Here is a 16024-nt window from a genome sequence, read left to right as displayed (position 1 = left end):
AGGCTTCACCCCAGACACCCTTGTGCTCCTTGCCATTCTAATGGTTGCGTTTTGTCTCTGGGTGGAATCTTCTCACATTTCATTTAGGGGAAGTGATTTGTTTCCAGGCTACAGCTTCCCAAAAGCTATGATCACATGGGTTAACCGACATTAATTTCCCCATGCATCCTGTTCTGTAGTCTATGGAGAAGGAAAGCAGATACTGCTTAGGTTTTCTGTCTTATGTCCTTTTGTGTTTTCATCAACTTTTTGTTGTGCAGGAAAAGATTAGGAAAGTGGGAATCAGGGTGGCAAGAAAAGGAGAATGAAGGGAAAATAAATTGCAGGGCAGGGCTTTTTCCTCATCTTTTTTCTTTTTTAAAATTTAGCCATTAGAGACATGAAGAAAGCTAACTCAAAATTCACCAGGGCTTTAGGACTGCAGGGCGAGGATTTAGGCAGCGTATTCCTTCAGGCTTTGCTATACCCACACATACCCTGAATTAAACATATAAACCAGGGGATGAAGATGTGTGAAATTACACAGACTCACGGAGGTTTCTCCTTCTCTTTTAGGGGCAAATAAATACATTACACCTAGAAAAGTCTTTTTTTTTTTTTTTTGGTATGTTTATTGTAACTTAAATATCCAAAATATTCATGTAGATTTCTGTACCCTTGGCCATAAGAAAAATCTGCTTGGCAGTAGGAGTGTAGAAAGAAAGATTCATTTTATAAAATCTGGGTCAGAAAATATTGATCAGAATTGTCAGAACTTGATAGTTTAAGATTTATTTTAGTGATCCTAACTAGTTTAAGATAGTTTCACTTTTTTGATAAGAAGTTTAGGGTTATGTAGTTTATTTTAGTTTTTAAGATCAAAAGCATATATTCCAATTTTAAAATTTTCCTTGCTTAAATTAATCATTTTCTTGGCAATAAAAGTGTACATTTGTGGGATGATTTGTATGACATGAATAGTCATTCACCTTAAATTAGGAAGCCAAAGCCCCAGTGAGACAGGCAGGGAAGGACTCTTGTTTCAACTTATTTTATCCAGTGAAAATGTCAGAAAATGAGATCCAGATTCTGGGTTCCTTAGCACTTCACCATCCACCCACCCACTTCACCAAGCACTTTTGTTTGTTTTAATACCTAGAGATTATCATCATAGAAAAGAGTAATGTAATTCTAAGTAGACTATCACTAATACTTTAGCCATAATTACAAATTAATATAATTATAGTCTTCTGACATCTATCACTCATTCATATATCCACTCACTCAACAATTATTAAGTGTCTATTCTGTGCCAGATTTGGAGCTACATACCAAGGAGAGAAATTGAAACAATTTCTTATCCTCAATAAGCACAGAGTCTTTTTCTATGATGCTGGCAAATTAATCAGAAGACCAAAATAGCAGTCAAAATATTTCATTCTCAATGTTTCTGATCGGACAATAGTTAATAATTCAATAACTCCAGAAATTAGGCAGTAATTATCCTAAAATCAGTTTGGTTTTGCACATGGTATTTTAACAGATCTAGACATGGAGAAACATACAGTTATTAATGGAATGGCACTTGAACATCTGTTGTGTTCCAAGGAGTTATTGGAATATTAAGTGTAAAAAATAATCAGGCATTATACATGTGTAAAATAATATTGGTACAGAAGAAAAGTCAATGGACTTATTGAAATTAGGGGTTCATATAATTCTTCTATTTCTCTGAGAGCTGAACATTCCCAAGAATAAAGGCTGTGATGAAACAGCGAGAAAACCTCTAGACTTGGAAACACGTGTTTGGGTGTGAGACCTAGGCTTTATCATTTACTCTGTAAGAGACTTTGGGTATGCAATGTCACATTATTTTGAATCTGAGTTTTGGATTTTTTTTAGTGGTCCTAACAATAACTACTTTATTAAGTTACAGAGAGAACAAGGTGAGGTGCAACAAGGGAAAGCACTTTGTAAACCATAAAATTGAAGAGATTACTTATATTAATAAACAATAAGTATAAGGGTATCTTATGAGCACATCTTTTTCCTGCACAGTCTTCTACAATGCACAAATACTCCTCCTTAATATTTTTTCATTTTCCCCTTCCCTCTAATGCTTGGTTAATTGCCTTAATTAAAATCTACTACCTGCCCGTTTTCTTCTCCATTCCTCTTCATTGTATTTGTAAGTCAAAATTTGACATTAGTTATCACTGATATATATAATCACAAGGTTAGCCATAAAAGTAAAATCATGACAATGTGAATTTTGGTGCAGTAGTGGAGATCTCAAATCCTAGAATCTTTGAAGATGTTTCTTCCTAATTCTCTCATATTTGGGTCTAATTAAAACTGTATTTCCACATACATTAGATTTTCACAGTAAATGAAAATCCTATTTACCAGTAATTATGAACTCCTTCCCTAATGTACTTGTATTGCAACATCATGGTTTTCTGTCAGTTTTTGTTATAAATATAGAATGTTTTCTAAATATTTTGGAAGAAGTAGATTATTCATAGGGCTACATCAGCAGTTTCTTTTTTAACTAACCTGAGAACCTCCCTCTCTGTTCTCTCAGCATTTTGCTTTTACGTTTGTTATAACATTTAGCACACTTGAATTACAAATTGAATGTTTATCTTCTTTTTTTTCCTTTACCTTAAAAAATTATTCAGGATAGAAATCAAAATCAAGTTTTTACTCATCTTTCTACCATCAGTGCTTATCCTAATGATGGCAATGATGTCCAATTATGTTTGTAAAGTAAGTTATTTTCACTGGCAATGTAAAATTCACGTACAAGTAGCTTTTCAATGACATTTTTAAAAAGTGGTTTTTTTTTTGGTAAATAGGAAGCTTTCTATATGGCTTTTTTGGTATAGGTTGACATTTATATATCATAATCAGATTATTTTACTAATAGTTATTGAATTCTTATTGGGTTTTAGTAGAGGCAGTAAGGAATTTACAATGAAATATTCACAATATTAAAACTACACAATTTTATTAACACACATGAGCATTTGTGCAGATTATTTCAGTTCTATGCTAGGTGCTCCATATAATAAACTTTGTTATAAGAGAATATTAAAATGAAACCTACAGAAGTCAAAGACTGCAAACTTTAGTAAACGATATAAAAGTTGACTTGGATAAATGAAAAAGCATTATGTATTATCAGAAATAAAGCCTCTATATTATACTAATATCAATTCTATTGAAATTTTTTCATAATATAATGCCATCCCAATCGACATTTTAATATGACTTTGGCAGAGGGTATTCTTCACAAAATGATTCAAAAGTTTATTTGAAATAGTAAATGAGCAAGAATAACCCCAAACTTTAAGTTTGTAACAAAGTACTGGGATTGCCAGGCGCGGTGGCTCACGCCTGTAATCCCAGCACTTTGGGAGGCCGAGGCGTGTGGATCACGAGATTAGGAGATCGAGACCATCCTGGCTAACACGGTGAAACCCCATCTCTACTAAAAATACAAAGAAAAAAATTAGCCGGGCGTGGTGGCGGGCGCCTGTTGTCCCAGCTACTTGGAAGGCTGAGGCAGGAGAACGGCGTGAACCCAGCAGGCGGAGCTGGCAGTGAGCCGAGATCGCGCCACTGCACTCCAGCCTGGGCTACAGAGCCAGACTCCGTCTCAAAAAAACAAAACAAAACAAAACAAAGTACTGGGATTTGTACTAATAGATAGTAAAACATATCATAATTCTAAAATCTTTAGAATAGAGTGGTATTACTATGAAAGAAGCAAAAAATAAAATATATCATAAAATCTAGAAAGAGAACCAAGTATGCTTGGTATATGATGAATATGTACGTTAGTATATTATAAAAATATGCTGCAAATTAATAGGAAAATTATATATACTTAACAACAAGATGTTTTCTCATAAAAATTCTATACACATAATTAAAAGGTAAATAGTTGTAATATACAGGACCTTTGTTAATAAGAAAAAGATCAATGTTCTAACAGATAAATATAATAGGCAAATAGCACACAGAAATTTGCAAAAGAAGAAATACAACTGTACCATAAACACATGGAAAACATGTCAAATTCCCTAATAATCAAATATATAAAAATTAAATTAATTATGATATATTTGAATATTAATAGCAATGTTTAAAAATAAATTCATTTGGGATTAGTATATATGTAGAAGGTGGGTTTGCTGAGCAGCTACAAAATATGAAGAAATTTAAACTCTTCACCATTTCTTGCTGCTTACAAAGAAAAGTAGTTTTTAAATGTAATATCAATACAAATAATGAAAAAAAGGCAAATGAAATGGCCACATTAAATAGAAACAAAAGTATGTGATAATGTTTTTCTGGAGAAAAAAATAAACAATATTTACTAAGATCGCTAAAAGTAAGCACTCTCATTGGTGTGTCCAAGTCACACTCCTAGGAAGCTTCCTTAATTAACTAATTAAGGATGAAGACAAATATTTATCTAACAAGATGTTCTACAGAACCTTGTTTATAATGGAGAAAAATAGAATCTAGTTAAGTGGGCATCCGTAGAGGGATTAAACAAATGATGGTAAAGCCTGCAAGGGAAAACTTCGCATTTAATGACATGAAGGGATATCTATGATATGATATGGCATCTGGAAAACAGTATTTATGCTATATAAGAATTTTGCAAAAAGTTTCATTACACTAGGGAAGGGAAGTATAATATACACAATAATGTTTTTGGTGATTATTTCTAGGTAGTAGTTAAGACTAGGTAAATATATGTATTTTCGAACATTTTTAAATTAAAAATGTATAATTGTATAATTAGGAAAAAGTCTATTATCTTTAAATAAAAATAAGACTGACTACTATAATTAATTTTTATTTTTTATGAAAATATTTGCTCTTTGCAAAAGTTCAGACAATGTATGTGTTGTTTTATGATTCCTGTCCCTAAGTTCTACTTCCCAGGGTTTATTATGACTAATTGCAGTATATGTACATTATATATACACTTATCAAAGCCATCATCCTCAAAGAAATTTTCTAATTGCTTATGTGTGCAAATAATTTGATAGGGCATACACAGGTTAGCCAAGTTGTAGACTGATAAAAAATTTAGAGATGGCTGCTTTCAATGTTACCCTTGATGTTATAGTCAAAAGTGTTATTGTGCTTTCCCTTACTCATATACTTCTCAGGCATCCCCTCAACCACAGAGCACACTCTGTCATTGTAGATTATATCCCTAGATGATAAAGTAAGCAGAATTTTTTGGGGGTGTGGGCTTCAGTCCTTCCTTTCATGACGTCTGTGTGCCTTTCTAGCACCTCTCTAGGAAACCAGTGCCCATATGAGTTAATCTCTTAAGCATGACCATCAGTCCTCTGCACCTGCTTTGACAACTAAGTCTTTTAAAATGTTCTGGAGAAATTTGCATTTCTCCAGAAATTCCCTGGGAGAAGCAACAAACTAACTAGTTTAGACATTAGCTGAAATCTGAGTAAATTATTGCTCACTATTACTTCACAGACGGCAATGAAGCCCAAATAACACCAGGCATGAAACAAAATGAGGCATTTTGTGGAGATGATAAAGTAAGATAAATGTAAAAAGAAAAAAAAAAAGGAAGAAAATCTTTGCTTTACTTCTATAAAATTGTATCTCAATGTCCATGAATTGTGACAGGATATAATTCTAAATTGCCAATGTAATTGTTCATTTATTAAAAATGAAAACTAGGGTGTTATTTAATGGGTATAATTTCATAAATGAGCAGCATTTTTACAAGTCAGCATTTGGCATCGTGTACTGATATTAGTGACTTGGCTGAAAAATGTAATGTATCTGGCAGCTTCAATTTAAAATTCACCCAGATTATTTTAGCACAGCCCAAGTAGATTTTTTTCTAGAAATTTATCTCTAGATTTCCCATTTATTTGTTAAGAGTTGTGGGTCTGATACAAAAACAAAGCACTGTACTACTTCAATACTGGACATGCCCCTTCCCCAAATTCACGTCTTAGATGAGAGTACCCGAAATCTTTCTAAAAAGTCAGCATCTTTAGTTCCCTGAAAATCAGGTCACTTTGTGGAAAGAAGATGCTGGAATGGAACATCTTGGCAATGAAAACGATCAATTGGCTTTGAATCAGAACAACATTTTCTCTTCATTTAATTAATAATCACTCTTGACTTTTCTTCAATGGCCTTTTTTATTTTTGTTTTTTATTATTTATTTTTATTTTTTTTTGAGACGACGGAGTCTCGCTCTTTGGCCCAGGCTGGAGTGCAGTGGTGCGATCTGGGCTCACTGCAAGCTCCACCTCCAGGGTTCACGCCATTCTCCTGCCTCAGCCTCCCGAGTAGCTGGGACTACACGCGCCCGCCACCGCGCCTGGCTATTTTTTTGTATTTTTAGTAGAGATGGGGTTTCACTGTGTTAGCCAGGGTGGTCTCGATCTCCTGCCTCGTGATCCACACGCCTCGGCCTCCCAAAGTGCTGGGATTACAGGCGTGAGCCACCGCGCCAGGCCCTTTATTGGCCTTTATATGGAAAACGCACCACTGAGCTAATCCAATGCCAGGTCTATGATGTAAGATGCTTTTATTATTCTGACTTTGTAGTAATATGAGGAGTGAGCAGCTACTTGTGAATTCTGAAGGAGGCAGTGTGCAAGCTTCCATTAACACCAATGAAGTTCCTGAAGAAAAGGAAATGTACTTAGTCTTATGTCAGGTAATGATGATGAATGGCACTCAGTCACACATTTATCTCTTTTAAAAATGGAACTTCTATCCAAAGGCCGAGAGGTTGTTCCTTTATAAAGCATCTACTATGTGCCTGGAACCCTGGACAAGGAACAGTGCAGACATGAAGGAGAATAAGATCCCCATTCCCAAGAATGTCACATAAGGCTGGAGAGAGGAAGCGAAATAATTGTGATATAATGAGATTTTTATTCTATTATAGATATAACGGCAAGTCTTTCACTGGGAAAGGGTTTAAGACATCTCCACCAAAGTGCTGAATAAATTGGGAAAAGGAAATGGAAAGAATTGGTGTTTTAGGCTATTGGAATCACATGAGCAAAGCCACTATTGAAAAGTTCTACTTGGTAGAAAGTAAACACTCTGCAAGACTTACCCACCTGAGTAGCAATGGAGCCTGAGATAATTGCATAGTTGCCAGAGGTGTATGGGAAAGCTCATGTTTATCTTCCCATGTTGCATATCAGCTGCATTTGCCTGTTACTTTTTGTGCATTCCCCCTGAGGGTTGAGTGGTCTCTCCAGTGTGCCAGATTTTTCTCTCCAGGTTTCTTTTATACTGCATTTTTGGGGATGGTTGCTGGTTGCAGTTGGCTTTCCTGCTCAGTGGTGTTTTTTTCTACCATGTTTGCTGGGGGTTGTGCCAACTACAAGTTCTGCTGCTTCTTAATTAAATTCTTAATCTCTATAGGCTTATAACAGAAAGTCTTTAGTTCTTGGCTGCAAGAAAAAAGAATGTAAGAACAGCAAATAAGACACAAAATGAAACCATTCATAATTGTTTTAAAAAAATGGGAAAGCTAGCAGCTGCTCAATTCCATTTATTTCTGTTATCTGCAGAATTTCTCATGGAAGGCAAGAATAATCACTATACTCAGCAGCTTGGGAAATGCAATTTTATATAATACACAGACTTCATAAAACTGCAAAATAACAGGAAGTTTAACCATATTTGAATGCAGGGAAAAACTGAGACTGGAGAAAAACAGTGTCTGAATTTGCCTTGAAATAGTAATATGTCCAAAAAGCTTTCAGTATTCACAGACATTCATCCATCATTGCTTGTCTTACTGAAGATTTTATTAGCCCCCATTCTTAGATGAGGAACTAAAGAATTCAACATGTTCAAGTTCATATAGCAAATCAGCAACCATAGTCAATAACTGAATTCTGATTTTACACTTCCCAAGCCCATGACTTATTCCCCCGTGTCACAGCTCTCATTTTTTCCCACACTGTGACCTACCAGATGGCAGCCACAGCTGAAGCCAATGTCTGAATACTCATGTGCGGTGTCTTTTTTTTTACATAGATGCAATGTGATATTGCCATTTCCTTTATTAATATGAGTGCTGCTTCTATTGGGAACATTTCTTTCTATCCACCTCCTAGGAATATTTTTCTAGTAAGATTTAGTGTTTTCTAATCTTGAGCATCCAGATGATGGAATACCCATCAAATTTTGTCTTCCATTTTCTATTACAGATATTTTCCATTGCTTTCCTTTTATGGGCTAGCGTCAGTGATTTTCTGTCACAGAGCCTTTTTTCCCCACATTTATCTGTTTTCCTTGTCCTAGCAAATATAAGAGCTTTATAATTAGCTTCTCCCCTCCCCCCTCCCCCTCCCCCCTTTCTTCTTCTCCTCCTCCTCCTCCTCCTTCTTCTTCTCCTCCTCCTCCTTCTTCTTCTTCTTTTTCTTCTTCTTCTTCTTCTTCTTCTTCTTCTTCTTCTTCTTCTTCTTCTTCTTCTTCTTCTTCTTCTTCTTCTTCTTCTTCTTCTTCTTCTTCTTCTCTTCCTTCTTCTTCCTTCTTCTTATTTTTGTGAGACAGCATCTTACCCTGACACCCACGCTGGAGTGCAGTGGCATGATCATGGCTCACTGCCCTGGACCTCCCAACCTCAAGTGATCCTCTCACCTCAACGTTCTGAGTAGCTGGGACTACAAGTGCATGCCACCATACCTGGCAAACTTTTTTGAATAGACAGGGTTTCGCCACGTTGCCCATGCTGGCCCTGAACTCCTGGTCTCAAGTGATCCTCCTGCCTTGGCCTCCCAAAGTACTGGGATTACAGGGGTGAGCCACTGTGCCTGGCTATCTAGCTTTTTCAAATACTATAACCACATCTAGGTATTTGGCTCTGTGTCCTGTTACCACACGCCACACTTCATCTATTTCTATATTTATCTACCTCTTCTTTTACCCAATCATCACTAGATAGTGCTTATACACAAGGAACTATTCCAGATGCTATGAAGGAGACAAAGATTCAGACACCAAGTTCTTTATTCTGTAAATTTACAGTCTGCTAGTTCAGCCAGGACATTTATTTGTCCATTCACTTATTCAATTATTCATTCATTCTGCAAATTTTTCTTGAGCAGCCAGTACATATCAGGTCCTGTGTTACATGGCAGTGAACTAAATAGTTGCTGCCTCTATCCATCATGGATTGGATAACAGAGTGAAAACCTATGGTTTTGTTGCCAGGCTGACATGGGAAGTAGACTTCTTAGGGAACTCATAGGAGTGGCACCTCCTTTGTAGATAGGGAAGGCTTCTTGAAACAAGATATGTCTGATACATGAAACATGAGCAGGAGTTAGCCAGTTGAAGGCAGAAATAAGTGCTGCAGGGAGAACATACATAAAGGCTCCGAAGAGAAAGAAAACTTGCTGCATTTGAGAATCCAAAAAAAGTTTAATATGGCTGCTTCTGGAGTGTGATGGAGGAGCTGGTGAGAAATAGGCTTCAGCAGAAAAGTGGGTTGGAATTAAAGAAGTATTTTCTATTTAAACTACTTAAGATATTAGAACTGTTTTTTCTCAACTATATATATTCACTGTATTGAGGAATTATTGCTATACAAAAAGCTATGCATATTTAATGTATACAACTTAATGAGTTTGAAGGTAAGTATATGCCTATGAAATCACCATCACAATCAATGCCATAAACCTATCCATCACCTCTAAAGGTTCCTTCTTCTTCTTTTATTATTGTTATTATTATTATTTGTGATAAGAACACTTAAGATCAACCCTCTTAGCAAGTTTTTAGGTGTACAATACAGTATTGTTAACTGTAGGCACCATGCTGTGTGGTAAACCTGTAGGACCTATTCATCTTGCAAAACTGAGACCTTGTGTCTTTTGACAGACACCTTCCATTTTCCCCTCCCCAGCAGCTGGCAACCACCATTCTACTCTCTACTTTTATGAGTTTGCCATTTCTAAGATTCTTCATATAAGTAAGTGGATTCCACAGTATTTATCCTGTGTCTGGTGTATCTTAGCATTATGTCCTTCAGTTTCATTCAGATTGTCACAAATGGCAGGATTTCATTCTTTGTTAAGGTTGACTAGTATTTCAATTGTATATGTATACCACATTTTTTTTTTAATCCTTGGGTCTGTATTTTTAAAGCTCTCTCTGTCTCCTGGGTAGAGAAAAAATTAGATCAGTGGTTTTCCAAATGTTTTTGGGACCAATAGAATCAGCATCACCTGGGATCTTGTTTGAAATGCAAATTTTCGATCCTCTAGATCCTCAGAATCAAAAACTGTTGGGATAGGAGCCCACCACTATGTGTTTTAAGAAATCTTTCAGATGATCCCAATGTATGCTCAGGTTTGAGAATAGCTAGACTAAAGAGGAACAAGATTGGGGGAAAAGAGACTATGTAGGATGCTGGGACAATGACTCATGTAAAATTTACCTACGCATAATTTTAATGTGAGCTAGAAGACTCCAGTGTCATGTCAGAGGCACAGATCAGCTGCCATGTTTGTTCAGAGAAAGCAGGTCAGGCTGAAGGACAGGCTTTTTAGAGAAGGAATCATTGAACTGAGCCTATAGTTTTAACTCTTAATTTACTGTCCTATGTGTTACCTTTTCTGACTATATTCGTAATCAAAGTTTTGAAAAATTGTTAACTGTCATTCCACTGGCTTGATATAACTAGTGACCACTGAGTTATGCATTATCCTAGTGAAAAATTTCCCAACTAAACATTCTATTGTCATGAAAATTTGTGCAAAATCAATTAACTTTTATATCCTTATGTACATTGTTAATAAAAATTACTAAAATATAACTTATGAATCATATCTGAACATTGCACACCTGTTTTTAATGGCTCATGTATATATAACCTAATAATGATGTCCTTGGCATTCACTGGAAACTCATGCTTGCTAGAGAAATTAATTGTAACACTGCTCGTGCAAAGCATTGTACCTGTTTTTTCTCCCTCCCTCCCTCCCTCCCCTCCTTCCGTCTTTCCTTCCTTCATTCCTTCCCTCACTCCTTCCCTCCCTCTTGTCTATTTGAGTTGTGATCATTATAAACTTTTAAGCAGAAGCTACTCTCTTTTAACTGTGTAGCATAGAATCGGTACAAAAAATATATTAAAAATTACATGCTATTTTTCTTGTGTATAGTAAGCTGGAATCTTTGCAAAGTTTGCATTTCTTTCATGCACCCATATTTTCTCTCTGGCTCGCCAAAATAAAATCTACTTTTTGCTTTTTATTCCACATAATTAGCACATATTTTAATAAACATTTCTGACATTTCTTAATGCCTCATTATACTTGATTTGTTATCAGCAGCATCTGCAATATTTATTTCTAGAAATAGTGACATTGAAGTTTGGATCATCCAAGTCTTAAAAAAGAAAAACTCTGGGACTTAATGATTGTATATGCACCATGTGTGTTTAGCTTTCTTTTTTTCTCAATTTAAATCTTCTAGTATAAAGTAAGACCAATGTAAAATATTCAGAAAAATCCTGTAAGAATTGAGCCTAGGAAAGCTGAACAAAGAGTGAACTTTGCCAGGCCTTTTAAAAAGCCAGCTGTATGCATCTGCTTGTTAACATGTAGCATTATTCTGAGCTGGGAATTGTGTATGCAATTCACAGTGTACATGGGCCGTTTGTCCTGGGAACATATATTGTGACTGCCAAAACTAAATAGAGTTAGCCAGTTCCCATGAGTGGAATATGATGGTCCTGAAACAAAGAGAAAAAACTGAAAATAAAAGTGACTGCTCTGATTGTTAGGGTGGAAAATGAACTGGAAACAGAAGAAAAATATGAACCGAAACTGTTTAACTATTTACAAAACTTTTAAATTTAATGATTGCTAACAATGACAAAATATTGCAGTGTACCATTTTTCATTTTGGTAAATACTTTGATAAATAACATATTTAGAATATTAAAAGTAATATATGATATTCAGTGATGTAGTATAACAAGCTATGTTATGAGTAAAAATATTTGTATTTAGTTTAAAATTATAATTAACACTTGTAATTGTTTATTTATGCTAAATATAGAATGAATCTTAGATTCTTTTGAATGACAGATTGATTAAGATTAGGTTCAGAGGCATACAGCAGAAACAACCAACCAACCAAAAAACCCAGAGAGTGCAGGCTTAAATAAATAAAAACCTAGATAAGCAGTCTAAAGTAATTGGCCCAAGGCTGGTGTGGCAACTCCAAGAAGTTTTCAGGGCCTCTAACTTCATACTCTTTATTCTTGACATCTCTCAGTTCTACTCTCTTCTTCAAGGTTGAAAGAAGCCTATGGAACTCATTATCAAATCTCTATTCTTGAAAATAGGATGGAAGAAACAAGAAATAAAGGAGCCCCCCTCCAACAATTCACACCCTTCTTCCCCTCATATGCAAATATTTGCAAATTACCTTACCCAGATGCAAATGTTTCACATAGCTGCAATCATATTGTATATGTAATATTGTACTTTCTTCTTAGTTTATAACCCAAATTTTTAATTTAATTCATAATTTCACCTATTAGTCAATCCTCATGCATTCAGTAAGTATTAATTGATTATGTTCCTTCTATGTAATGCTAGGTGTAAGTGGTGAATAAGATGTGGATTCTCTCCTCATAAAATTTACATATTTAGGGGTTAATAATCTATATAGATTACAGTTCACAGGGACATGACCTTGGACATAGAATGCCATGATATTGCAATGTGTGTTTGGCATTTATGTGTCAATTTTCCATGGATCCTGTTTGGGAAAATATGACTCCTAGTGAGAAAATGTTGATCATGAGTCTCCACTCAGTGGACGGGGATGGAATGATGCTTCAGGAAGAAATGATAAGCTCTGCTTCACAGGTCACACAGATCACACACAGAATGTATGCATTCATTTTACTAGTAAACAAGATGGTTTACTACTGATCAGCCAAGAACTCATTTCTGGGATTACCAGACTGCATTTGTGTTTTCTTATCATGTCCCTTAGTAACAATGACAGAGAGTTGCTGCAGTACCGATGATTGCCTTGAAGGCCTTCCTTGTTTTTCCCTTCCTGGGATAATTCCTTCAAATCTTTCATGATTTCTTGGAGTTTGTCTGCTTTTATTACTGCCTGCCCTTCCAATTATGACTGGGAGTTCTTATAAATGGTTCCACAGACTATGTGGAAGAAGATAACTTTGGATGATTATTAGAGAAAGTAAGGGATGTTGTTGTGCAAGTGAAACAATATTGTGTTTAAAGAATTTACAAAATTTATTTCAAGCTTAGCTGTAAAATAAAATACCTTTGCTTGTTATCTTTTGAGTAGATAGTGAACAAATAAACCAGTAATGAATTCTTAGTTTTCTAAGTTAATTTTTATTTTGGAAATTTTTTAAAAATTACAACATTCATAATTACTATAGAAAATCAGAGAAAGTTGCTAAATAGAGATGAAAAATAAGATTGCCTATAACTCAATTATTCAGGGAAAACCATTCTAAATATTTTAATGGTTTATATATTTTAACTACCTCCCTATATACATATAACATTTTTTAACACAAATTGCTTATAATTTGCCACCTGTATTACCTACTCTTATCAATCAAAATAAAACTTAGGCATCCTTCCTTACCAGCAAATATATATATTGTAGATTGTTATTTTAATGTCAACATTACTTTACTATTTGAATGAAACATTATTTATATATAGATAGCCATGTTTATTTTTTGTACTATAAATAAAACTTTAATGGAATACTTATAAATAAATGTTTACATACTTGTTAATATTTCCTTAGGAAATATTTTTAGAGATAAGATTTGTAGATTAAGGACAGCACACATTTTAGTACTTTAAAACATAAAACCAAATGGTTCTTCAAGAAAGTTGGACCAATTATAGCAATCACATCCTCAACATGGCATTTTGTTTAATCGCTGGGGATGTTTGAAAAATGTTAACTTATTTTAAAAAATTTTTATTTATTTAATATTAAGATTGAAGATACCTGCCTATTTTTGGCTACCTTTTTTGCAAATTGTTATAAGATTTATTTAACTATTAATTTTTAAAGTAATTTAGTCTTTTTGTGATAACATCAATATCATGCCTTTGCATAACAGGCAGTCCACGCATATTTACTTGAGAAGAAATGAAAACAATTGAGACTCTTATATCACTCTAAGGGTATCATTATAAAGAAAAACATTACTGAAAAGCTTTAGAACTGCCAATTAGTTTTATTGATGGCAGCACCCAAAAGGAACATAGCTCCAGATAGTTCCTGCATTGTTTAATGTCATTTAACTAGACAGTGAATAGAGTTATTTGTAATTTAATTTAGCGTAATACAACAGTACTGTAAGTTGGGGAAACTCTCTTAAAAGAAATTAGGACAGATAAAAGATGAAAAGATGAGAGTTTAGAATTTAATGTGAAGAGTAACTATCATTAAATGAAAAAATTATGGCATTGATTAAGTAGCTCCATTTTAGACTCTTGGATGGAAAACTCATGTACACATTTCTTGGATGTTATTTAATATGTTGGCACTTTCTACTATACAAGAGCTTTATAGGCAATTTAATATCCTGAGACGATTTCTGTGAATTTTATTTGTGACTGTAGTACTTGTTTTTCTATTGCCCGGAGACCAGCAGTTTTCCAAAATTATGCAATGATTGATACCACAGGATAATTTAGTCTTTCTTATTATGCATGTTCACTTAATATGTTACAAAGTTGCTCTTAGAAATGACCCTTGTGCCCGATGAGCTTTAGAAAAACATAAAACAATCACAATTTCTTTGAACTAGCATTTTAAAAACCACGTTTGGTTTCTATTAATTTTATTTTCAATAAGATAGATTTTCTTCCTGCTGTACATTTGATGATACATAAATTTACTAGCAATGTGACATACTAAGTGAATATGAAATGTAGCAGGTGATTACAAACCACCTGCTAATACATTAGGTACTATTAATACATTAGGTACTAGTACCTAATGTAATAACACTGGTATTAAAAATAATTGGTTTTTGGATTCATTTCCTTCAATAATGACTATATGTTGCATTTAATTCACTGTCAGTTTTCTTTAAATGTAGGTAATTGCTAACTCATTGAACCACTGCCTTTGTATAAAAATATGATGTTGTTAACTTTGGACTAGGAAAAAAAAAACATGACAAACATGACAGAGGAAACCTGGTTCTTGGAAATTCCCATGGGCCAGGTATGTCTGCTATGTATCCAGGTGAGAAGCCCTTGCAATCACATCAGTGCATATCACAATGTAAATAGGCAGCTGTTTGCTTTCACCTATAAAAGGAGAATGCTTGTTTGGTAGTGAAATGTTATACATTCATATTTGTTTATCCAATGTCCAATTTCACTTTTATTTTCATATTAGTGGAAAGCAATTTTGAGAACATTGAGAGTTATTTTGCTTTTTTTTTATCAGTTCATCTTGATTCAAACTATACTGAATTTTAAAATCAATTTATTTCATTTAATTTGAAAGCTGAAATTTGGTATATAAATTATTAAGAGCCATAGAACTATCAACTGGCCACTATGTCAAATTTTTCTTTAGGAATCACTTTATTTTTTCTAAAGACTGTAATTGAGATAAACCAGTAGAGTGTTTGGCTTTTTTAAATTCCTTCCTTGTGCTTATATTCTATAAAGTATCTAGATTTGCCTCCTGTTACATTTAAAATGCATTGCCATTAACTGTTGAGATAACGTGGATCAGTCTCAATCAGATAAGGGATATGGAATTTTCAAAAAGTTTATGGTATCTGTTTATGGTATTAAAGTACATTTGTGTTTCCAAAACTGGATTTGCAACCTTAGGTGCTACAGCCACAGCCCATCTTGTTAATATGCTCTCACCCTTATTGAGCCGTTTGGCTGGGAAATTGCTAATTTATCTCCCTGTGCACAGCTGGGTAACGTTCAGTGCAGAGAGACAGCCTGTGTTT

Source organism: Homo sapiens, chromosome 4 (genome assembly GCF_000001405.40).
Source record: "Homo sapiens chromosome 4, GRCh38.p14 Primary Assembly".
Taxonomy (NCBI): Eukaryota; Metazoa; Chordata; class Mammalia; order Primates; family Hominidae; genus Homo; species Homo sapiens.
This window is presented reverse-complemented; position numbering follows the sequence as displayed.